The sequence below is a fragment of the Homo sapiens genome, chromosome 6, assembly GCF_000001405.40.
Source record: "Homo sapiens chromosome 6, GRCh38.p14 Primary Assembly".
Lineage (NCBI taxonomy): Eukaryota > Metazoa > Chordata > Mammalia > Primates > Hominidae > Homo > Homo sapiens.
Genome location: NC_000006.12, coordinates 80,634,777 through 80,660,270, shown reverse-complemented (window position 1 = coordinate 80,660,270; position 25,494 = coordinate 80,634,777). Strand labels below are relative to the sequence as shown.

At 39.6% G+C, this 25,494-nt stretch overlaps 1 long non-coding RNA gene across 1 annotated transcript in view; it reads right to left on the bottom strand.

Annotated features, from left to right (window-relative positions):
* Nucleotides 1-12,790: 12,790 nt before the first annotated feature.
* The window catches only part of LOC112267962 (uncharacterized), a 162,505-nt gene continuing 149,801 nt past the window's right edge, over nt 12,791-25,494 (bottom strand). The window contains exon 3 of the long non-coding RNA XR_002956360.2: nt 12,791-12,997. This is a non-coding gene — a long non-coding RNA (uncharacterized LOC112267962). The remainder of the gene's footprint in view (nt 12,998-25,494) is intronic.

Here is a 25,494-nt window from a genome sequence, read left to right as displayed (position 1 = left end):
GAAAAATTCAATAGACTGATGTATTCTCTAAAGGGTGTCTTAGTTTAAGGGGCAGAAACTGCTGGCTCGCACCAGAATGAACATGCGTTGAAGGAGTCCCTCTTATCTCTACAGAGGCTATTTGGCTTTATTCCTCCTATATGTATGGGAGACTCTCAGCCAACCAAGAGCTGCACACACCATGCCACCCGCCTTAAGAAGTGAGCAACTATCATCATAAGATGATTCACAGCATACTGAAAAAAAAATTGTTTCAATTAACAATTGCTATTTCTTTTTTTTTTTTTTTCAATTATTAGCTTTTACTGTTCCCTTTCCTATTGGTTTCTTATAGCCTTTGAGACAACTTGCACTCAAAGCCTGCTAAGAGAAGCAAGCTGGGAAAATCACAGGCATTTCCCACAACCAATATGCCCAGAGTGCAATGAAATTTTACAGCTGAGATCTGAGCTGTAGGCCTAATGTGTCTGCTGGCAAACGGTATTCAGTATTCTACTTTCTCTCATCCCTTCCCTCCTGGCCCCAGCCACACTGTGGAATTCCAAAAGTGTCTCATAACACTATTCAGTTCTAAATTAGTCTTCATAAATCTTTTTCATAGCTTCATCTACTTTCATCAGCAATTTGTGATTGCCCCTTCAAAACCTTTTTACAAATGTCTTTCTCATAGCTGTCCTTATACAGCAATTTCACTGACAGTTAAGATGGGGAAGACTATTAAACATCCAAATAGCAGCTCTTCCTTCAAGTTCTTTTGTCATCATGGTTACAAACTCATCTTCCCAGCACATATTCTCTGTAGACTGGCCAAAGAAGCTAAGATTTCCAAGTGGTATTTCTGAGTTGTATGTGAAAGTGATATGCATGCCATTATTTGAGTTGAGGTTTTCATAAAAACAATGATCTGCCTTACATTTGGAAGAGGCTGTCAACCATACTAACCAGTTTAAATAATAGTAAACCATAATAAGAAGCTGGGAAAACTCACCATCCAAGCACTGCCTAATAATTAAGTAGGGCTAGTTAATGCCTAATTACTCACCTAAGCAGCCTGAAACGTTCTGAACTATCAGGGTGGAAGTTCTTGTTAAAAAGGTATAGGGGGGCCCGGCGCGGTGGCCACGCCTGTAATCCCAGGACTTCGGGAGGCCGAGTCGGGCGGATCACGAGATCAGGAGATGGAGACCATCCTAACTAACATGGTGAAACCCCGTCTGTACTAAAACTACAAAAATTTAGCTGGGCGTGGTGGCCGGCGCCTATAGTCTCAGCTACTACGGAGGCTGAGGCAGGAGAATGGCGTAAACCCGGGAGGCGGAGCTTGCAGTGAGCCGAGATCAGCCACCGCACTCCAGCCTGGGCGACAGAGCGAGACTCCGTCTCAAAAAAAAAAAAAAAAAAAAGTGTAGGGGAAGGGAAGACAACGTGAGAAGAGGCTCCTCCTTCATCTCCCCACCAGCCCAGCCACGAGGCTTGCTTGCCTCTTCTACCATCAGTGCTAATCAGCTTTATTACCTAGTCAAGTCCTCAGGCTGAGGGTGAAGCTAATCAACCCAGGATGACATCGAATTGCCTTTTGTTTCGTTTTAAAATCTATTTTACATTATCCCTCACTTTTCCTCTTCATCCTACCTTGATGCCACCATTACCTTGGTTCATCAAAATTCATGATACTTTGGTCTTTTGGATGGGTATAATAATAACAAGTGTTAATATTAAATGCTTCTGTGTAAATATTTTTTATATATATTTTAGCCTCACAACAACAGTTAGAATTTTAATCATCAACATTTTATAGATGATGAACCATGACTTATGGAATGGTAGGTATCTAAACTAAATCAACTGCTAAGAATGGAGCCAACTGAAGTGCAAGGTTTTTATTCCAAAGCTCTCTTTTGCTTTCACTATGTTATACTAGCTCTCTTTGACAGAAAAAGGTGATCCAGTCAGGGAGATTCTCATTAGCCACAGAGTAAGTTTTCATCACAGAATGTGAATCTCTATTTAAATATGCCTAATTCAGTAGCTCCTGTATATGATAATACAGTAGCGTCCCCTTATCCATGATCGGGCCACTGCACTCCAGCCTGGGCAACAGAGTAAGACCCCATCTCAAAAAAAGAAAAAGAAAAAAGAAAGCCAAGGAAAGAAAATCAATTTGCAAGTTAACTGTGACACTTTTTAAATAAAACCTTGATGACTCAAAACCAACATTAAAAATGTTACATTCTAGAAAAGAAAACAAGGATGACACTCATAAAATTAGTACAAATATCCACACCACATAGCCCTAATAGATGGGGTTGTCCAATTTCAAAGGAATTAAAGAGCTTTCCAATGGTCTTATAAATTTCTAATGGCACTGTGATGGTTAATATTGAGTGTCAACTTGATTGGATTGAAGGATGCAAAGTATTGTTCCTGGGTGTGTCTATGAGGGTGTTGCCAAAGGAGATTAACATGCGAGTCAGTGGACTAGGAGAGGCGGACACACCCTGAATCTGGGTGGGCACCATCTAATCAGCTGCCAGTGCACCTAGGATAAAAGCAGGCAGACGAACGTGGAAGGACTAGCCTGGCTAAGTCTCCTTGCCTCCATCTTTCTTCCATGCTGGATGCTTCCTGCCCTCAAACATCAGACTCCTAGTTTTTCAGCTTTTGGACTTTTGGACCTATACCAGTGATTTGCCAGGGCCTCTAGGGCCTTCGGCCTCAGACTGAAAGCTGCCCTGTAGGCTTCCCTACATTTGAGGTTTGGGGACTCATACTGTCTTCTTTGCTCCTCATCTTGCACAGAGTCTATTGTGGGACTTCACCTTGCAATTGTGTTGAGTCATTACTCCTTAATAAACTCACTTTCATATATACATCTGTCCTGTTAGTCCTGTCCCTCCAAAGAACCCTGACTAATACAGGCACATCTCATAAGTCTAACAGATTAAAAACTTTATGCTCCTTTTAATGATGCCTTCAGCCATTGTGCTAACACTGTTTTCTCAAATATTAAATGCTACATACTCTGTACATGCAAATAAACAAGTTCTACAAAATGGTAGACAGTTTTACCGTGGTGGGTCCTCTCCTTCTTCTAGTAGGCCTCTGACTGCCATCACTACCTCCACCCCCTCCCCTTTCCCTCCTGAGTCTATTGATGTCACAGCATAATGATTCTATGAGATATGGTCTTCTCAGTTTATTATTAGAGTTTTAGTTTCAATAAAATTTATCTTTCCAGCACCTTAGATCATTAAAAACTTTCTCAAGCCAGGTGACAGTTGACTGGTGAATATTTTATATACCACAGCGACGTAAGTAGACAACTTAGTTTCTGCAAATCAGGTTGTAACCAAAAACTCTCCTGGACAGAGCTAGTTCATCCTATCCAGTACAAAGACAGGCATCCTGAGTACAAAAGTCATGGAAGTAGAACCTGGGTCAGTGAGGTTTCCCAGACTGCCATTTTCCAAAGGAATTACTGGGTCATAGTCATGTTGAAGAGCGAGCAACTTTTCTACTTTTTCTGTTTCTCGGTAAAGAGGCAAGACAGTTACAAATATATGAGTTTAAATCATGCTTCAACTCTTACCAGCCAGGTGGTTGAGATAGGTACTAACTCTCTCCCTCCCTGAAACCCTTTTTCAATTTTATCTGTAGAATAATAAGACTACCCACCTCAGGGTAAAGGTTAAGCAAGATAATGAACGTAAAACTCCTAGTACGATACCTAAGCTATAGAAGATGCTCAGAAAATGTGCATTCTTCATATCTCAATTTATAAATAAATATTCTGGCCATTCACTGGCAAATTATGGCATTTTATCCTGTTTTTACGATGCCTATCCAACACATCGGAGGATATTCATTTTAAATGATTAGTTAAAATTTGGGAATGCATAATAATGTTTTCTTTCCACTAACCAAGATGATTTAAGTTAGGGTGCACAAAAGTGGACATTGAAAAGACAGAAGTTTGAAAGATAAAACAATGCAGGAAAGTGACCAAGGAAGTAATGTGATTAATAGAATTGACAATCAAAACAATTTAGGTAGTTTCTGAGTAAATAATGTGAGAGTGTCTTGCCTGAGCAAATATGTTCTAAGTGCAAGATACTTGTGTGTTTGCAGATTATATGAAGCCAACATTGATTTTAAAACTGGATAACTGGCTATGTGACCTTAAAAACAGAGTCATCATTCAACTTCTGTTAATTCAGTATGAGATCTTATATATGAACTATGATTACAAAATCCATGTTTGGTAATAATATAACTATAAATGCTACAAGGGATATCTGTGCCCTTTTACATAAAACATAGAAAAAGCATTTAATGTAATTATTAGCACATATTCATCAGCATGGATATAGAAAATGAAGAATTGCAGTAGTTCCCTCTTATCCACGGTTTCACTTATCCAATTTCAGTTACCTGAGGACAACTGCAGTCTGAATATTAAATGGAAAATTCCAGAGGTGAGCAATTCAGAAGTTTAAAATAGTGAGCCATTCTGACTAGCATAATGAAATCTCACTCTGTCCCCTGAGTCCTGCTCTGGATGAGACCATCCCTTTGTCCTGTATACACAACTGTACACACAACCCACCTGTTAGTCACTTAGTAGCTGTCTGGGTTATCAGGTTGACTGCCGAGATATTACATTGTTTGTGTTCAAGTAACCCTTAATAATGGCCCCAAAGAACAAGAGAAGTAATACTAGCCTATTTCTGTAATTGTCCTACTTTATTAGTTATTGTTGTAAACCTCTTACTGTTCTTAGTGTATAAATTAGACTTTATCATAGGTATGTATATATAGGAAAAATAATACTGTATATACAGATACTCCTTAACTTACACTGGGGTTACAAACTGTTATATCAATTATAAACTGAAAATATAATAAGTCAAAACTGCATTTGAACTTACAGTATTTTTCAACTTATGATGGGTTTATCGGGACATAACTCCCTCATAAGTCAAAGAGCACACTAAATGCATATCACTTTCACACCATCATGAAGTTTAAAAACTGTAAATCAAACCATCATAAGTCAGGAACTGTCTGTTTATGGTTCAGTACTAGCCAAGGTTTCAGACATCTACTGGGGGTCTTGGAAGTTATCCCCATAGATAAGGGGAAACTACTGTACATGCAATTAATTATAAATACCATCCCTCAGAACACATGTTTGGCAGTTTTCTTGTCTCCCATAAAGGAAATTAGCAGGTAATTAAAGCCTTTAATTTTTTTTCTGAGTGAATTTTGCATATTGGAGAACTGGAAAAAAATTATCCCTCTTGCATGATAACTAGCAAACAAATCTTCCTCGGGTCCAAAATGCTAATCGGCCAGAGCCTAGCAAATGTATTCATGTACCTAAGAGACATGAAAAAGTAAAACTCTGTGCATACTCATCCCCACAGACAAAGATTTCAACAGACTTTCCATGATGTTTTGGGTTACAAAAATGCCCAGAGAACACCTACATATAATACGATGTCATAAAACCCCACACCACATCTGAATGTGATAATTCAATCACAGCCAGATTTCAGGGGTTAGAACAATGTTCTAGAAAATGGTGCCTTTCTGGTTACCAGCAACTTTCTCCCTCATAATCCAAGAGTAGAGTAGATGAACTAATCTAGGGCTCCTTAGGAGAGACTCTGGTGAAAGAAAGATCAATTAAGCCTTTAGTCTAAAAACTAGGATCTGCCACAGCCTCTAATAATTGTGCTTAATTACCTCAACAGCAGGGAGTATGCCATTGCCAGAAACATAAGCCAAGATAATGGTGCTAGAGTTTGCACGGTTTAGTTTAAGCTTCAGTTATATCATTCACCCACCTTTTACAAACCTTCACCTTGGCAAATTTGGGTAAGTCAAGTTGGAATCGAGTTAGCATTGGGAAATCTGTGAAGCTCATGAAGTTTGAATGCAAACACTCTCAACTTGCTTTCTACCATCATTTTTTTTCTTTTTTTCTTTCTTCTTTTTTTTTTTTTTTTTTTTTTTTTTTGAGATAGAGTCTCACTCTGTTGTCCAGGCTAGAGAGTGCAGTGGTACGAACTGGGCTCACTGAAGCTTCTGCCTCCTGGGTTTAAGTGATTCTCCTGCCTCAGCCTCCCAAGTAGCTGGGATTACAGGTGCCCGCCACCACACTCAGCTAATTTTTGTATTTTTAGTAGAGACTGGGTTTCACCATGTTGGCCAGGCTGGTCTTGAACTCCTGACATCAAGTGATCTGCCCACCTCGGCCTCCGAAAGTCCTGGGATTACAGGCGTGAGCCACTGTGCCCAGCCTACTTCTGTTTTTATAACCTTCTTTATAGCTTTGATGAACCTTCTGATTCATTCAATGTACCTAAAAAAAATCTAACTCTCTTAGGTTTCATTTTGCAGGCAATTGAGTAAATTGATCTAAATAACTTGTTTCTTCCCAAGCAGCTAATATGTTCTGAGTCCATTGGAAGCACTAGGAATACAATATTGCTAAGACATCATATTACCCTAAAGGACTTTGTCTAATTTGGAGGAGAAGGTAGACATATGAAACAACTGCTGAAGAAGTGTACAATAAAATGTTAAAGTAACTCAAATTGTATATGAAAAAGTACGTAGAGAAGTAGGAAATCAGTGTGAAACTGCAAAGTGGAATAATTTTTGGAAGAGGTGAGACTAGAATTAAACTTTGAAGCCTGAGAAGAATGTGGTATGGGGAGAAGGCATTGCAGATGGAAAACAATTAAATTATAATAATATTAAAATAGAAGCTAGTGAATATAATACCATCCTGCTTAAACAAAATGTGGCTTTTTATTGAGCTTTCATTTCTTCATCTCAAACAATAGTGATATAGAGTCAGGTGTCACTTAATGTTGAGTGTCAGGCCTCTGAGCCCAAGCTAAGCCATTATATCCCCTGTGACCTGCATGTACACATCCAGATGGCCAGTTCCTGCCTTAACTGATGACATTCCACCACAAAAGAAGTGAAAATGGCCTGTTCCTGCCTTAACTGATGACATTACCTTGTGAAATTCCTTCTCCTGGCTCATCCTGGTTCAAAAGCTCCCCCGCTGAGCACCTTGTGACCCCCAACCCTGCCCGCCAGAGAACAATCCCCCTTTTTCCTTTACCTACCCAAATCTTATAAAACGGCCCCACCCCTATCTCCCTTCGCTGACTCTCTTTTCGGACTCAGCCTGCCTGCACCCAGGTGAAATAAACAGCCTTGTTGCTCACACAAAGCTTGTTTGGTGGTCTCTTCACACAGACATGCATGAAATTTGGTGCTGTGACTCAGATAGGGGGACCTCCCTTGGGAGATCAATCCCCTGTCCTCCTGCTCTTTGCTCCGTGAGAAAGATCCACCTACAACCTCGGGTCCTCAGACTGACCAGCCCAAGGAACATCTCACCAATTTAAAATCCAGTAAGCAGCCTCTTTTTACTCTCTTCTCCAACCTCCCTCACTATCCCTCAACCTCTTTCTCCTTTCAATCTTGGCACCAGCTTTCAGTCTCTCCCTTCTCTTAATTTCATTTCCTTTCGTTCTCTGGTAAAGACAACTCAGGAGATGCGTTTTATCCATGAACCCAAAACTCCGGCGCAGGTCACGGACTCGGGAAGGCAGTCTTCCCTTGGTGTTCAATCATTGTGGGGGATGCCTGCCTGATTATTCACCCATATTTCACAGGTGTCTGACCATGCAGGGATGCCTGCCTGATTATTCACCCATGTTTCAGTGGTGTCTGACCACGCGGGGACTCCTGCCTTGGTCCTTGACCCTTAGTGGCAAGTGTCACTTTTCTGGGGGTCAAGAACCCCCCGACCCCTTCTCTCCATATCTCTACCCCTTCTCCACTTTCCTGGGGGGCAAGCACCCCTCACCCCTTCTCTCCGTGTCTCTACCCTCTCTTTTCTCTGGACTTGCCTCCTTCACTATAGGCAAACTTCCACCCTCCATTCTTCCTTCTCCCTTAGCCTGTGTTCTCAAAGACTTAAAACCTCTTCAACTCACACCTGACCTAACACCTAAATGCCTTATTTTCTTCTGCAAATGCCACTTGACCCCAATACAAACTTGACAGTGGTTCCAAATAGCCAGAAAACAGTACTTTCGATTTTTTCCATCCTACAAGATCTAAATAATTCTTGTCATAAAATGGGCAAATGGTCTGAGGTGCCTGATATCCAGGCATTCTTTTACACCTTGTTCCTCCCTAGTCTCCGTTCCCAATGCAACTCATCCCAAATCTTCCTTCTTTCCCTTCCGCCTGTCCCCTCAGTCCCAACCCCAAGCATTGCTGAGTCTTTCCTCTTTCCAATCTTCCTTTTCTACAGACCAATCTGACCTCTCCCCTCCTCCCCAGGCTCCTCCTCGCCAGGCCGAGCTAGGTCTCAATTCTTCCACAGCCTCTGCTCCTCCACCCTATAATCCTTTTATCATCTCTCCTCCTCACACCTGGTCCGGCTTACAGTTTCATTCCGTGACTAGCCCTCCCCCACCTGCCCAGCAATTTCCTCTTAAAAAGGTGGCTGGAGCTAAAGGCATAGTCAAGGTTAATGCTCCTTTTTCTTTATCCGACCTCTCCCAAATCAGTTAGTGTATAGGCTCTTTCATCAAATATAAAAACCCAGCCCAGTTCATGGCTTGTTTGGCAGCAACCCTGAGACACTTTACAGCCCTAGACCCTGAAAGGTCAGAAGGTCGTCTTATTCTCAATATGCATTTTATTTTATTACCCAATCTGCTCCAGACATTAAACAAAACTCCAAAATTTAAATTCCAGCCCTCAAACCCCACAACAGGACTTAATTAACCTCACTTTCAAGGTGTACAATAATAGAGTAGAGGCAGCCAAGTAGCAATGTATTTCTGAGTTGCACTTCCTTGCCTCAACCATGAGACAAACCCCAGCCATATCTCCAGCACACAAGAACTTCCAAACGCCTGAACCACAGCAGTCAGGCATTCACCCAGGCCTGCCTCCCCCAGGAGCTTGCTAGAAGTGCCAGAAATCTGGCCACTGGGCCAAGGAATGCCCACAGCCCAGGATTCCTCCTAAGCCATGTCCCATCTGTGCGGGACCCCACTGAAAATCAGACTGTTCAACTCACCTGGAAGCCACTCCCAGAGCCCCTGGAACTTTGGCCCAAGGCTCTCTGACTCCTTCCCAGATCTTCTTGGCTTAGCGGCTGAAGACTAACGCTGCCCTATTGCCTTGGAAGCCCCCTAGACCATCACGGATGCCGATCTTCGGGTAACTCTCACAGTGGAGGGTAAGTCCGTCCCCTTCTTAATCAATACGGAGGGTAAGTCCGTCCCCTTCTTAATCAATACAGAGGCTACTCACACCACATTACCTTCTTTTCAAGGGCCTGTTTCCCTTGCCTCCATAACTGATGTGGCTATTGACGGCCAGGCTTCTAAACCTCTTAAAACTCCCCTATTCTGGTGCCAACTTAGACAATGCTCTTTTAAGCACTCCTTTTAGTTATCCCCACCTGCCCAGTTCCCTTATTAGGTGGAGACACTTTAACTAAATTATCTGCTTCCCTGACTATTCCTGGGCTACAGCCACACCTCATTGCCGCCTTTTCCCCCAGTCCAAAGCCTCCTTCACATCCTCCCCTTATATCTCCCCACTTTAACCCACAAGTATGGGATACCTCTACTTCTACTCCCTCCTTAGCGACTGATCATGCACTCCTTACCATCCCATTAAAACCTAATCACCCTTACCCCACTCAAGGCCAATATCCCATCCCGCAGCACGCTTTAAAAGGATTAAAGCCTGTTATCACTCGCCTGTTACAGCATGGCCTTTTAAAGCCTCTAACTCTCCTTACAATTCCCCCATTTTATCTGTCCAAAAACCAGACAAGTCTTACAGGTTAGTTCAGGATCTGCGCCTTATCAACCAACTTGTTTTGCCTATCCACCCCATGGTGCCAAACACATATACTCTCCTATCCTAAATATCTCCCTCCACAAACCCATTATTCTATTCTGGATCTCAAACATGCTTTCTTTACTATTCCTGTGCACCCTTCACCCCAGCCTCTCTTCACTTTCACTTAGACTGACCCTGACACCCATCAGGCTCAGCAAATTACCTGGGCTGTACTGCCGCAAGGCTTCACTGACAGCCCCCATTACTTCAGTCAAGCCCAAATTTCTTCCTCATCTGTTACCTATCTCGACATAATTCTCATGATAACATGCTCTCCCTGCTGATCATGTCCAGCTAATCTCCCAAACCCCAATCCCTTCTACAAAATAACAACTCCTTTCCTTCCTAGGCATGGTTAGTGCAGTCAGAATTCTTACACAAGAGCCCAGGCAGCACCCTGTAGCTTTTCTGTCCAAACAACTTGACCTTACTGTTTTAGCCTAGCCCTCATGTCTGCGTGCAGCAGCTGCCACTGCCTTAATACTTTTAGAGGCCCTCAAAATCACAAACTATGCTCAACTCACTCTCTATAGTTCTCATAACTTCTGAAATCTATTTTCTTCCTCACACCTGACGCATATACTTCCTGCTCCCCTCCACTGCCTCTCAGTAAGCCAAACTCATTGCCTTAACTCAAGCCCTCACTCTTGCAAAAGGACTACGTGTCAATATTTGTACTGACTCTTAAATATGCCTTCCATATCTTGCACCACCATGCTGTTACATGGGCTGAAAGAGATTGCCTCACTACGCAAGGGTCCTCCATCATTAATGCCTCTTTAATAAAAACGCTTCTCAAAGCCACTTTACTTCCAAAGGAAGCTGGAGTCATTCACTGCAAAGGCCCAAAAGGCATCAGATCCCATCACTCAGGACAACGCTTATGCTGATAAGGTAGCTAAAAAAGCAGCTAGCGTTCCAACTTCTATCCCTCACTTTCAGTTTTTCTCCTTCTAATCTGGCCACTCCCACCTACTCCCCCATTGAAACTTCCGCCTATCAATCTCTTCCCACACAAGGCAAATGGTTCTTAGACCAAGGAAAATATCTCCTTCCAGCCTCACAGGCCCATTCTATTCTGTTGTCATTTCATAACCTCTTCCATGTAGGTTACAAGCCACTAGCCTGCCTCTTAGAACCTCTCATTTCCTTTCCATCATGGAAATCTTTCCTCAGGGAAATCACTTCTCAGTGTTCCATCTGCTATTCTGCTACTCCTCAGGAGTTTCTCAGGCCCTTCCCTTCCCTACACATCAAGCTCGGGGATTTGCCCCCGCCCAGGACTGGCAAATTAACTTTACTCACATGCCTCAAGTCAGGAAACTAAAATACCTCTTGGTCTAGGTAGATACTTTCACTGAATGGGTAGAGGCCTTTCCCACAGGGTCTGAGAAGGCCACTGCGGTCATTTCTTCCCTTCTGTCAGATATAATTCCTCGGTTTGGCCTTCCCACCTCTATACAGCCCGATAACGGACTGGCCATTATTAGTCAAATCACCCAAGCAGTTTTTCAGGCTCTTGGTATTCAGTAAAACCTTTATATCCCTTACAGTCCTCAGTCTTCAGGAAAGGTAGGATGAAGTAATGGTCTTTTAAAAACACACCTCACCAAGCTCAGCCACCAACTTAAAAAGGACTGGACAATACTTTTATCACTTTCCCTTCTCAGAAGTCGGGCCTGTCCTCGGAATGCTACAGGGTACAGCCCATTTAAGCTCCTGTATAGACGCTCCTTTTTATTAGTCCCCAGTCTCATTCCAGACACCAGACCAACTTGGGCTGTGCCCCAAAAAACTTGTCATCCTACTATCTTCTGTCTAGTCATACTCCTATTCACCATTCTCAACTACTTATAAATGCCCTGCTCTTATTTACACTGCTGGTTTACGCTGTTTCTCCAAGCTGTCACAGCTGATATCTCCTGGTGCTATCCCCAAACCGCCACTCTTAACTCTTAAAGTAAATAAATAATCTTTGCTGGCAAGGCTATGCTGAATCTCCTTGGGCACTCTCTAATTAGATGTCCTGGGTCCTCCCAATTCTTAGTCCTTTAATACCTGTTTTTCTCCTTCTCTTATTCCGTTTAGTTTTTCAATTCATACAAAACCATATCCAGGCCATCACTAATAATTCTACATGACAAATGTTTCTTCTAACAACCCCACAATATCACCCCTTACCACAAAATCTTCCTTCAGCTTGATCTCTCCCACTTTAGGTTCCCACGTCACCCCTAATCCCGCTCAAAGCAGCCCTGAGAAACATCGCCCATTATCTCTCCATACCACCCCCAAAAATTTTTGCCACCCCAACACTTTACCACTATTTTGTTTTATTTTTCTTATTAATATAAGAAGACAAGAATGTCAGGCCTCTGAGCTAAAGCTAAGCCATCATATCCCCTGTGACCTGCACATACACATCCAGATGGCCAGTTCCTGCCTTAACTGATGACATTCCACCACAAAAGAAGTGAAAATGGTCTGTTCTTGCCTTAACTGATGACATTACCTTGTGAAATTCCTTCTCCTGGCTCATCCTGGCTCAAAAGATCCCCTGCTGAGCACCTTGTGACCCCCACCCCTGCCCACCAGAGAAGAATCCCCCTTTTTCCTTTACCTACCCAAATCTTATTGTGGGTTATCAATATGGCATAAAATTAGGGAAATGGAAAAAGGAGAAGATATATGAAAGAAAGGTCTGAACTACTGTATAATTTTTTAAGGTTTCCTTCAATACACTCTTACAATAGGCTAGAGAATCTCCTATTCAACATCTTCATTTACCATTTTTCCAGCTCCTGATTTACAGACCATTCTATTACTCTAGAGTAAAGCGTACAAACCTCCTTCTGTCTTCTACAACTCACCAGTCACAGAGCCCAAGACTTTCTGCAGCTGGTTGTTCTTCTCCTCTTTCAGTCTTCAGGGACTAAATTTAGTGCTTAATGAGATGTCTTGAATGCACTCACTTCTGCAGGCGATCCATGCCAGAGCTAATGTACATTCATGTAAATGAAGATAGTCCTGGGAATCCCTAGAAACCAGATAATCAAATTAAATGTTCCGCATGTTTTCTTAAGAAGGAGTTTACAGTGACAAAAAGATGCCCAGACCATGACAAACGTTCTGCAGGAGACATTTCCAAACAGTTCAGATTTGAACAAGTTATTCTGAAGCAAATTAAGTAGGTTTTGTCATTGTAATGCAAAGCCATGGGGTCCACTTTGTTTTGTTTTGTTTTGCTTTTGGGAGGCAGAGGGAGGTGCCACACACTTTTTAAAAACAATTTTTTATTTCCATAGGTTTTTGGGGAACAGGTGGTGTTTGCTTTCATGAGTAAATTCTTAGCGGTGATTAGTGAGATTTTGGTGCACCCATCACCCAAGCAGTATACACTGAACCCAATTTGTGGTCATTTATCCCTCACCTCCTCCCACTCTTTTGCCTGAGTCCCCAGAGTCCATTGTATCATTCTATGCCTTTGCATCCTCATAGTTTAGCCTCCACTTATAAGTGAGAATATACAATGTTTGGTTTTCCATTCCTTGTAGTTCCATCCAGATTGCTGCAAATGCTTGATGGGCATTTGGAGTAGACCCATACTTATGCAATTGCGAATTGTGCTGCCATAAATATGCATGTGCAAGTATCTTTTTCGTATAATGGTTTCTTTTCCTCTGGATAGATACCCAGTAGTGGAATTGCTGGATCAAATGGTAGTTCTACTTTTAGTCCTTTCAGGAATCTCCAAACTGTTTTCCAAAGTGATTGCACTAGTTTACTTTCCCATCAGCGGTATAGAAGTGTTCCCTGTTCACCCCATCCATGCCAACATCTATTATTTTTTTATTTTTTTTATTATGGCCATTCTTGCAGGAGTAAAGTGGTATTGCATTGTGGTTTTGATTTGCATTTCCCTGATCGTTAGTGATGTTGAGCATTTTTCCATATGTTTGTTGGCCATGTGTATATCTTCCTTTGAGAACTGTCTGTTCAAGTCCTTAGCCCACTTTTTGATGGGATTGTTTGTTTTTCTCTTGCTGATTTGAGTTCCTTGTAGATTCTGCATATTAGTCCATTGTCAGATGCGTAGATTACAAAGATTTTCTCCCACTCTGTGGGTTGTTTACTCTGTTGACTGTTTCTTTTGCTATGCAGAAGCTTTTTAGTTTAATTAAGTCCCATCTATTTGTCTTTGTTTTTGTTGCATTTGCTTCTGGGTTCTTGGTCTTTGCCTAAGCCAATATCTAGAAGGGTTTTTCTGATGTTATCTTCTAGAATTTTTATGGTTTCAGGTCTTCAATTTAAGTCCTTGATCCATCTTGAGTTGATTTTTGTATAAGGTGAGATATGAGGATCGAGTTCATTCTTCTACATGTGGCTTGCCAATTATCCCAGCACCATTTGTTGAATAGGGTGTCCTTTCCCCACTTTATGTTTTTGATTGCATTGTCAAAGATCATTGGCTGTAAGTATTTGGGTTTATTTCTGGGTTCTTTATTCTGTTCCATTTGTCTATGTGCCTATTTTTATACCAGTACCATGCTGTTTTGGTGACTATAGCCTTAGAGTATAGTTTGAAATCAGGCAATGTGATTCCTCCAGATTTGTTCTTTTTGCTTAGTCTTGCTTTGGCTATGCAGGCTCTTTTTTGGTTCCATATGAATTTTCGGATTATTTTTCTAGTTCTGTGAAGAATGATGGTGGTATTTTGATGGGAATTGCATTGAATTTGTATATTGCTTTTGGTAGGATGGTCATTTTCACAATATTGATTCTACCCATTCATGAGCATGGAGTGTGTTTCCATTTGTTTGTGTCATCTGTGATTTCTTTCAGCAGTGTTTTGTAATTTTCCTTGTAGAGGTCTTTCACCTCCTTGGTTAGGTGAATTCCTAGGTTTTTTTTGTTTTTTTTTTTTTTTTGCATCTATTGTAAAAGAGGTTGAGTTCTTGATTTAGTTCTCAGCATGGTTGCTGTTGGTGTATAGAAGAGCTACTGATTTGTGCACATTGATTTTGTATTCTGAAACTTTGCTGAATTCATTTATCAGTTCTAGAAGCCTTTTGGAGGAGTCTATGGTTTTCTAGGCATAGGATCATATCATCAGCAATAAGGAACCGTTTGACTTCCTCTTTACCAATTTGGATGTTCTTTATTTCTTTTTCTTGTCTGATTGCTCTGGTTTCTTGTCTGATTGCTAGGACTTCCAGTACAATGTTGAATAGAAGCACTGAAAGTGGGCATCCTTGTCTTGTTCCAGTTCTCAGAGGGAATGCCTCTGAACCTCACAGGTTACATGCTGAACCCCACAGAAGGCAACATATCTCATCACAAAGGGTAACATGTCTCAGATGTGGATCTAACCCTATTTGCTTTTTATTGCTTTATCAGAGCAGAGTGTTTTCTCTTTTAAAACAAACCAGTACCCCCACACACACACACACACACACAAACATATGCTTTTGTTGTATATGTTTTGTCAAGGGTCATAGTCTAAGCATCTGGACAAGATTTAAAAAAAAAAAACTTTGCATAACGTGACATTTTCATCTCAAAAATATTAATGCCTTCCTGTATACTAGCCATGACACTCAAATAATGAGTTGATAACTGAAAATTTTAGTTAAAACCTGTTTTGGTATCAGATAAAAAAATTAAAATCTGGTTGCTTTTCTGAATTCAGAACCAATTGAGAGGTTAGTTTATTTTTAAAGCTGAATTTTATCAAACAGCTATTTGTGTGGAAAATACACTTTCCATGTGGAACTACTTGCAGGACTAAAGGACAGCTTTATTGTGGGAAACTCGGTAAAATGCAGATTCCAATTTAGTAGGCCTGCAGTGGGCCTGAGAGTCTACAATTCCTAACAAGCTCCCAGGTGTTGATGCTGCTGGTACACCAGCCACACCTGGAGCAGAAAGACTAGCCATGACACTCAAATAATGAGTTGATAACTGAAAATTTTAGTTAAAACCTGTTTTGGTATCAGATAAAAAAATTAAAATCCAGTTGCTTTTCTGAATTCAGAACCAATTGAGAGGTTAGTTTAGTTTTAAAGCTGAATTTTATCAAACAGCTATTTGTGTGGAAAATACACTTTCCATGTGGAACTGCTTACAGGACTAAAGGATAGCTTTATTGTGGGAAACTCGGTAAAATGCAGATTCCAATTTAGTAGGCCTGGGGGGGGCCTGAGAGCCTACAATTCCTAACAAGCTCCCAGGTGTTGATGCTGCTGGTACACCAGCCACACCTGGAGCAGAAAGACTGTGGAATGTGGAGCGTGGAGCATGATTTTAAATCTTTCAGAGACTGATCTTCTCATCTGCCACCACATCCTGTATGAATCAAGTAAAATATCTACTACTTTAGTAAAATATATCTACATAATATACAACTGTGCAATCATACAAAAGAAAAACTGTGACTGGTTTATAATGAGTATTGATGCTTTGTAATAATTAGCTAATATTTTTCTCTTTGCGTTTCCTCCCAAATGAAGAAGCAGATACAAAAAAAAGGCGGCTGGGTGTGGGAGTGGGGGAGAGGGGGAAGCTTGTTTTGACTCTAATGAACTCTGACTCAATTTCTAATGTTTGACTACCGACAGCTGTCAATCCCACCCACTCCTCTTTCCCTTCTGCCCTACAATTGTCGAGCAAAGAAAGCCTGGGTTCTCTCTCATTTGCTACCTGTAGGAAGTTGAAACCAGGTAAGTCTCTGTCTTCCTGTGAACCCTCAACTGGCCCTACACTCTAAACCCAGTAAGCACCCCAAGCCAGTCTCCTTTCCCAGATCTCTCAAGTCATTTTTTAACATCCTTGGGAGTTTTACTGCTGTCCCTATAAAGCCTCATGATATAAGCAGTTAAGCTTTTTATAACTTGTGGTACATGTGTGCTATCATTATTCTGGACATATGAATCAGATTTTTGGTGAGGATCCATTTTGTCTCTGCAGAGTGTCCAAATAGACTGCCTTCAGACATATGTGTAACCAGTAACAAAACAGAGGAAAATATTTCATTTAATTTGAAATTGATGTTTGAACTGGAATGGATGGATTCCTAAGAATTAAAAGTAATTTTAAAAAGTATGGAATCTGCTATTGTTTAATTAAAGGATTGGAAGTAAATAATATAATAGAGCACAGTTGGAAGCAATGATTTTTAAAAAACATTATGTACCCCCCTTAAATTGTGGGTTCTTAATAATATATATATACATTTATTTTAGGAGGAAAAGCAACTTCAGTTCAATTTATTTAATGACTGTGCTTTAAGCATGACAAGATTTGTTTTACTTGAACAAGCACTTTGTGAAAATTAGTAAACAGTATCACAGAAGTCTCTCACAGAAGATCTACATTTTGAATAATACCACCGTCATTATGTGATCTAGAAAAGGGTCAATTATGATTTTGGGTGATTGATCACAATTGTGCAATCTAAATCATCCACAAATCAAGTTTCCATGGAAGTTATTGGTTTCTTTATATAAATCCAACATATTCATCCATTTATCTCTTACAAAATATATGGGTTCCAGGAATGAGTGTGTTGTCTTATTCCTTATCTCCAGAACCTAATACAGATAGTACTCACTCAATAAGTATCTGTTAAATGAAACTCATCCCACTAGAATTTATTGAATGACTAAGTTGTCAGGCAATGTTCCAATTACAGAGGCTAAAGATGTTAGATACTTCAGACACAAAATATTTTAAATGAAAATTATCTGAGTGCATTGGTTATAATAATTTTCCTTTCACCAAGAATGGTCCAGAAGTACAAAGACAGATGGCCAAAAGTCTGACTTATTTCATGACTCTAAATTTCAGGCCAAATGTTGAAAGTGTGATGTATAGGCAGCTGGCCAAGCCAACCCCATTAGGATTATTCTCCAGAGACTTTCCTAGTGAGATCAAAAGGAAGGTAACCTAGCTCTGAAGTGGAGAATGAAGGATGTAAAGATCAAGAGCTAGAGATAGTAATGTTCTTTATCCTATGGAGGATAAATACTTTCAGACTATTTGAAAGATGGATTCAACCACACATTTAGGCCCACAAAAATGACCTATTAGTTCTTTATGTTGGCTTTGAAAGGTGTGGACCGGGGAAGGAGAGAGGGAGGTATTGATCAAGAACAGGTGGTGATTAGGAGTACCTTGGCAAAGAGTGTTCCTTTTACACAGGAGGGATGGAAGAGGTTGACCATACTTTGACCAAGAGAGGAAAGTGCAGCTAGGAGGAAGAAAGATCAAGAGGTTCCAGCTACAGTTTCTCCACATCCCAAAACTGAGAGTTGCCCTATTGGTTTTCAGAAATTGTGAGGCCAAGAGTACTGGGGAAGCTTGTGATAAGTGCCAATCTCTGAGCCCTGGGCCCCAGAGATTCTGAATCATATGACTGGCAAGGGCAGGGCTGAGGTGGAGTGGAAGAGATGGACCATATAAATATTATTTTGAGATTTACCTCAAGTATAAGTGATACAGATGATTCACAGATATGACTTGTTCCTGTATTCTTTTCCCTTCTATTATCACGCATGTGAATGACCACAGAAATGTTTGCTTATGATTCCAAACTCAGTCCATTCAGAGCCTGCCTGTGCCATCCACTCTTTCACCATCCCAAACACGAATCTTATATGTCCTTTCTGTCTAACCACATCTGTCTCTGTTGCTCTTTTATTTTCAGAAAATACACTATACCATGATTTGTTTCTCTTCCCAACTTACTAACTAATAGATCTTGGAGTTCCTTCTACAATAGCATATATATATATATATATGGTGTATATATATATATATGGTGTATATATATATGGTGTATATATATGGTGTGTATATATATGGTATATATATACTATATATGGTATATATATAGTATATATATGGTATATATATAGTATATATGGTATATATATAGTGTATATATATGGTATATATATAGTATATATATGGTATATATATAGTATATATATGGTATATATATAGTATATATATGGTATATATAGTATATATATGGTATATATATAGTATATATATGGTATATATATAGTATATATATGGTATATATATATGGTGTATATATATGGTATATATAGTATATATATGGTATATATATATGGTGTATATATATGGTATATATATGGTGTATATATATATGGTGTGTATATATATATATGGTATATATAGAGACCATTCTTTTCATTGGCTGCATATAAATACATAATTGGACGCATCAAACATTGTTTCACCATTGCTTTTGAGATATAACCTCAGATTTTTTTTTCTATTTTTTCTATTACAAGAAACCATGCAATGAACATTCTTGTACCAGATCTTGATGAACATAGACAATATGTTCATACAGTAAAATTTTAGAAATACAAGTTATTGGATTAAAGAATATGTGTATTTAAAAACTTCTGAATGTTTGAATTTTTCTCCAAAATATTTACTCTAAATCCTATTCCCAATTAGAATAAGCATGACTTTTCCCTTAAGCTTCATCAGTATTGCACATAAACAAGCTTAAGAATTTCACTCATCAGATAAATTTGAAAAACTCAGTTTTATTTGCATTATTTGATTATGAATAAGGCATATCCTTTATATTATTTATAAGCCTACTCCATCTTTTAAAAATGTAAATTATATGTTCATATTTGAATGTTTTTCTGTTGCTTTAGTTTTTAATAATATTTTATAAAAGTGCTTAGAAAGTTAATAAACTAATTATTTCATATGCCATCTAGGCTGAAAACACTTTTCAGAAGCAGTTTTATTTTTTATTATCTGTAACATAAAATCGTCTGTCAAAAAAATGTGAAGAGTCTGCAATTTTACCCTGCTACTTGAAAGTTTCATAGAAACTGTGAAAAGAGCTGTGGTTCAATGTCCCTTTGTTTTGATTCTTCTGAATGCCCACAGTTGCAATTGCCAGAGAGGTTTCACAATATTAAAAGACCTGCTTCTAAGGCCTGCCTGTCTTTGCACTATTTAGTAATTTTTTCTACTACTTAATTTAGATTGATATATCATTTTACTACCATAAAAATAGAAAGTTTATTTCCATTAACTGCTAAACATTTAAAATGTTTTCCATTTAGACCCACTCCCCTTTTTTTCTTTGATAGGTATTTGAATTCTAATTTTTGGCACTTTTAATACTAAAATGTTGTTAAATTTTTAAATGTAACGTTCTTCAAGAAATTAATTAAAAATGATGTCCATCAGACCCAAATACCTATCACTCAGTGCTCCTCCCAACTTGTAAAGGTTTACTGGCTTTTTCAGTCAAATTTTTCTCACTACACAGTGTAAAATAGCAGTGATTCTCCTGAGCAACTGATTTGTTTTCGTCCTATAGACACTGAACCAATAATTAATCATATTGTCCTCTCTACCTTTATTACCTAAAAGCTCAAAGCCAAATCTATGGCCTACCACTAGGATCTGTAAAGGAAACCTCAGTCATGCAAACTGTGAACTAACCTCATCGTAAATTTGTTGTTTTTTCATTATTATTTCCTCTTTTGCTTACTTGGTTGTATCACATACTCTTTCATAGAGTGTCTTAAATAATTGTGGGGACTAAGCAGAATATAAATTAATTCATTAAACTCGAGCATTGAGAGAGTTCCCACTGAACCAAAGTTTTGCCTCATTATGTTCACCTTCTACTGGTTGACAAAAATCATTCTTAAAAATAAAAATGTCCTTCAGTGAACTCTTAGCCACTCATCAAGGCATCAGCATCATTTGTTAAGCAACATAAACTTGAAATTAACATTGTTCCCATCAGTAGCCCACGTACACAAAGTGCGTCACCTCCTTCCCAGGGGCTAATCAGAAATCATTCTGTCTTCCATCTGCTGCTTTTGACTATTTATTTGATGCTGTGAAGCATTCCCAGGAAAGCCTTGAAGCCACAAACTTCTCCCTTTTCCCATTTGTAGCATCTATGATTAGGAAGGTACAAAACAAAAATAAACTAACAAAACCACACAGAGCCAGGCTCCCATGGGGCAGCATTCAATGTTTCCCTACTTTTGGCTGCTTAGTGGTTCTTGTCATTACCTGACTCCCAAGGGCATGTTTATTTACATTTGGACAGAAAAGCAGGCTTTCTCTCAATCCTTTTTGTTGGGCTTTCTGGTCTTGATAAAGCAATATGTATTAAAAGAGTGCTTTTAGTGTAATATTCATTTAAGAGCAAGTATTTCAACCTGAATGTAAACCCCCAGAAAGGGAATGTATGTGCGCAGATTTCATAAGTACAAATCAGTGCACGTCTTCAGATCAGCATCTCTCCCAGCAACGTACAATTGTGTGACTGTGACTTTGACCCAGGCTGCTAAGGAACAAGTATCTCTGCAGTGACGCAGGAGGCTGAGCAGGAAGTGCCCGCTAAGTGTATTTGGTGACTCATATCCATTTGCTCTCCAGCTCACTGCAGTTTGCTCATTAGCATTGGTGCTGGGGGCTAATGGATACTCAGTAGGAAGTAATTTTTCATTGTAAATGTCTGGTGAAAAAATGGAAATGAAAACCCAATAAGCACTCGCTTCCTGACAAAGCTTTCCAAGACTGATAGAGATTGTGTTTTGAGAGGTCTGGTTACAGGGTTCAGTGGTGAATTTCAGGTTCTTAGGACTGATTACCTTCATCTTAAAATAGGCTTTCAATCTCCGCACCCCCGCCCCCACACACACAAAGTGTGAAATAAATGAAGCTAAGCTAGAGAGTTATATTTATCTCTATTTTCTGTTTCTTTTAAAACTATTAGAGGGAATTTTTAAAATACCATGTATTCATTATGTGTCCAAGCATCCAGTGGTGTGTTGGTAAATGTTTGACAACAGTCTCTGGGTAAAAAGAAAAGGCCCTGATTTCCACTGTTTGCTGATTCCCATGGTGTAAATACTCCTACCACAGCCAGTGTCAAGCTACAACATGAGCCTCTGAATGCGGAATTGGGAAAAAATGGAAACAATTATCTCTCCTTTAAGCCAGTAAGCACCAGTTTCACCATGCCCTGCCACTCCTCTAAATGCAAATGGGGGCTCATCTTCATGTAAAATGAAAAAGCACCATCCTTTTTTCACAGAGTACCCCAAATCAAAGCATGATTCTGTTAGGCTGCATGCCACATATATATGTATTTATGTAATTTTATTTAGCTTCTGCTTTTTTTATTCTCATTCCTGGCTCATTCAGTTCTCTTGGGTTTTTCTAGTGGCCCTAGGAGTAATATTTGAAATGTCATAGGAATAGCCAACTCACTAAAAATAAAAACTGGAGTATTATCTAACACTACGCAATTTTTTAAAAATTTCCTTGCATAGGAAGACTTTTGCACTATGGCACAAAATGATTGATACATTAACCATGTAGAGTACCTTATTGCTTGCCATTGTAATCTCTTCAGAATTCTGTTTTGTATCCAAATGTTTAACGCTTTTAGTGGTGATGATTTTTCTGAAAGCTTCTGGGACTATGTCTATACTTACCTTTGGAAAGTGAAGTGAAAATCTTGCTATTTAAATGAATGAAAGTCTAACACCTGATCAATTTAATGCCACAAATCATGAATCTATTGTGTAAAAAACTAAATTGACTACAGCTAAAGTACTACCAAAATATTATATATTAAAACTCCAGAATGCACAGGAACTTAAGACAAAAGACATCTAAGAATAAAGATTGTGAAGCAGTCTAGTTGTAGGCCTGGAACAGTGGGTTAGAGTTTGACTCATGGAGCCAGACTGCTTGGTCTAAATGCCAGTTCTGACACTTACTAGCTGTGTGGTCTTGGGCAGGTTGCTCAAGAGCTCATCCTCCCCACCACAGTTTCCTCCACTGTTAAGTGGGGACAATAATAATACCTAATTCACTGGGTTATAGTAAGGATTAGCTCTGTCAGTATTTATAGAATGCCTTTATAGGCAAATAAGTGTTTGCTAAATAAATTTAAAGGAGAATTTTCAAAGACTAAAAAAAAATGAATTACAGATCAAATCTAAACCTTTCAAGGGAGCTGATTTATAGAAGAAAGTGTAATTTCACCGAATAATTACATGATGACTCAATATTGCTCCCACTCCCTGACCATGCAAATTAATGCTAATGTGGCACACTGAATTACAGGTAAAAAATTTAACAGTCTAAACAGAAGAAACTACATCTTCCTATTTCAATCAGCCTGGAGAAAATCTTCTTAAATGGGAACATTCAAGTAGTCAAAAGGGTACCATTCTGATTATTAATAAAGACATACATGGAACTATAAAACATTCCCACCTTCATAGTATTTAATGGCAGTGGTAGAGGCATGGGAGCATGGATTAAGGCTCTAAGGAATTCTGAGGTATTACTAATATCTGAAATATCACTGAAAGTATTTCATGGAGCTATGATTCACAGCTCCTGTCAAATATCAGAGTCCTTTCAAAATTTAAATTGGATTTAAGTCAGGCATTACTTTCTATTCTATAAATCCTGGGTAATGATAATGAAGTGCTATAGTGTTAGTATTGAACATCAGCGCATTGAAAGGAGACAGGCCTAGGTTCTCTACTGTGTTTGCTCTTCCTAACCCTAACTTGCCCTCTTTTGGTTCCTCCTAGTCTCCTCATTCTGCTGACCTCCCACTAAGCATCAAATCTTCCCTTTCTCAACCAACATAATGGACCTGGCCTCTGCCCAGTTTCACAGCAACCTGTTCACAATATTCTACTACTATATTGTGTGGCTGTTTAAGTTTTTTATAGGTCTAGAAGTATTTTTTTTATGAATCTGGGTGCCCCAATGTTGGGTGTGTATATATTTAGGATAGTTAAATCATCCTGTTGAATTGAAACCTTTATCGTTGTATAGTGCCCTTCTTTGTCATGTTTAACTGCTGTTGGTTTAAAATCTATTTTATCTGATATAAGAATTGTGACCCCTTCTCTTTTTGTTTTCTGTGTGCATGACAGATCATTCTCTAACCCTTTACTTTGAGTCTATGAGTGTCATTACATATGAGATTGGTCTCTTGAAGACAGCAGATGGATGGGTCTTGCTTTTTTATCCAGCTTGCCACTGTGTGCTTTTTAAGTGAGGCATTAATTGGAGATTTCTCAAAGAACTTAAGGCAGAACCACCATTTGACCCGGCAATTCCATTACTAGGTGTATGCCCAAAGGAAAATAAATCAGTCCACCAAAAAGACATGCAGGCATATGCTCACTGCAGCACTATTCTCAATAGCAAAGATATGAAATCAACCTAGATGACCATCGATGGTGGATTGGATAAGGAAAATGTGTACATATACACCATGGAATACCATGCAGCCATAAAAAAGAACAAAACCATGTTCTTTACAGCAACATATATGCAGTTGGATGCCATTATCTGAAGTGAATTAATGCAGGAACAGAAAACCAAATATTGCATGTTCTCACTTATAAGTGGGAGCTAAATATTGAGTACACATGGACATAAAGATGAGAACAGCAGACACTGGGGACTACCAGAGGGGCAAGGTAGGAGGGAGTCAGTGGTTGAAAAACTGATTTCCTCACAGGCTCTCATGCTCCTTTGAAGTTCCATCCTTCTTGTCTAGAACATGGATACTACACTTGAAGGGGTGGCTTGCCCCTCCACACCTGTGGGTATTTCTAGTCAAGTGGGACAAGAGACTGGGAAAAGAAATAAGACACAGAGACAAAGTATAGAGAAAGAACAGTGGGCCCAGGGGACCGGCGCTCAGCATACCAAGGACCTGCACCAGCACCGGCCTCTGAGTTCCCTCAGTTTTTATTGATTATTATTTTCATTATTTCAGCAAAAAGGAATGTAGTAGGAGAGCAGGGTGATAATAAGGAGAAGGTCAGCAAAAAACATGTGAGCAAAAGAATCTATGTCATAATTAAGTTCAAGGGAATGTACTATGACTGGATGTGCATGTAAGCCAGATTTATGTTTCTCTCCACCCAAACATCTCAGTGGAGTAAAGAATAACAAGGCAGCATTACTGCAAACATGTCTCACCTCCCACCATAGGGCGGTTTTTCTCCTATCTCAGAATTGAACAAATGTTCAATCGGGTTTTATACCGAGACATTCAGTTCCCAGGGGCAGGCGGGAGACAGTGGCCTTCCTCTATCTCAACTGCAAGAGGCTTTCCTCTTTTACTAATCCACCTCAGCACAGACCCTTTACGGGTGTTGGGCTGGGGGACAGTCAGGCCTTTCCGCCATATTTCAGACTATCACATGGGGAGAAACCTTGGACAATACCCTGCTTCCAAGGCAGAGGTCCCTGCGGCTTTCCACAGCGCATTGTGCCCCTGGTTTATTCAGACTAGAGAATGGCGATGACTTTTACCAAGTATACTGCTTGTAAACATTTTGTTAACAAGGCACGTCCTGCACAGCCCTAGATCCCTTAAACCTTGATTTCATACAACACATGTTTTTGTGAGCTCCAGGTTGGGTCAAAGTGGCTGGGGCAAAGCTACAAATTAACAACATC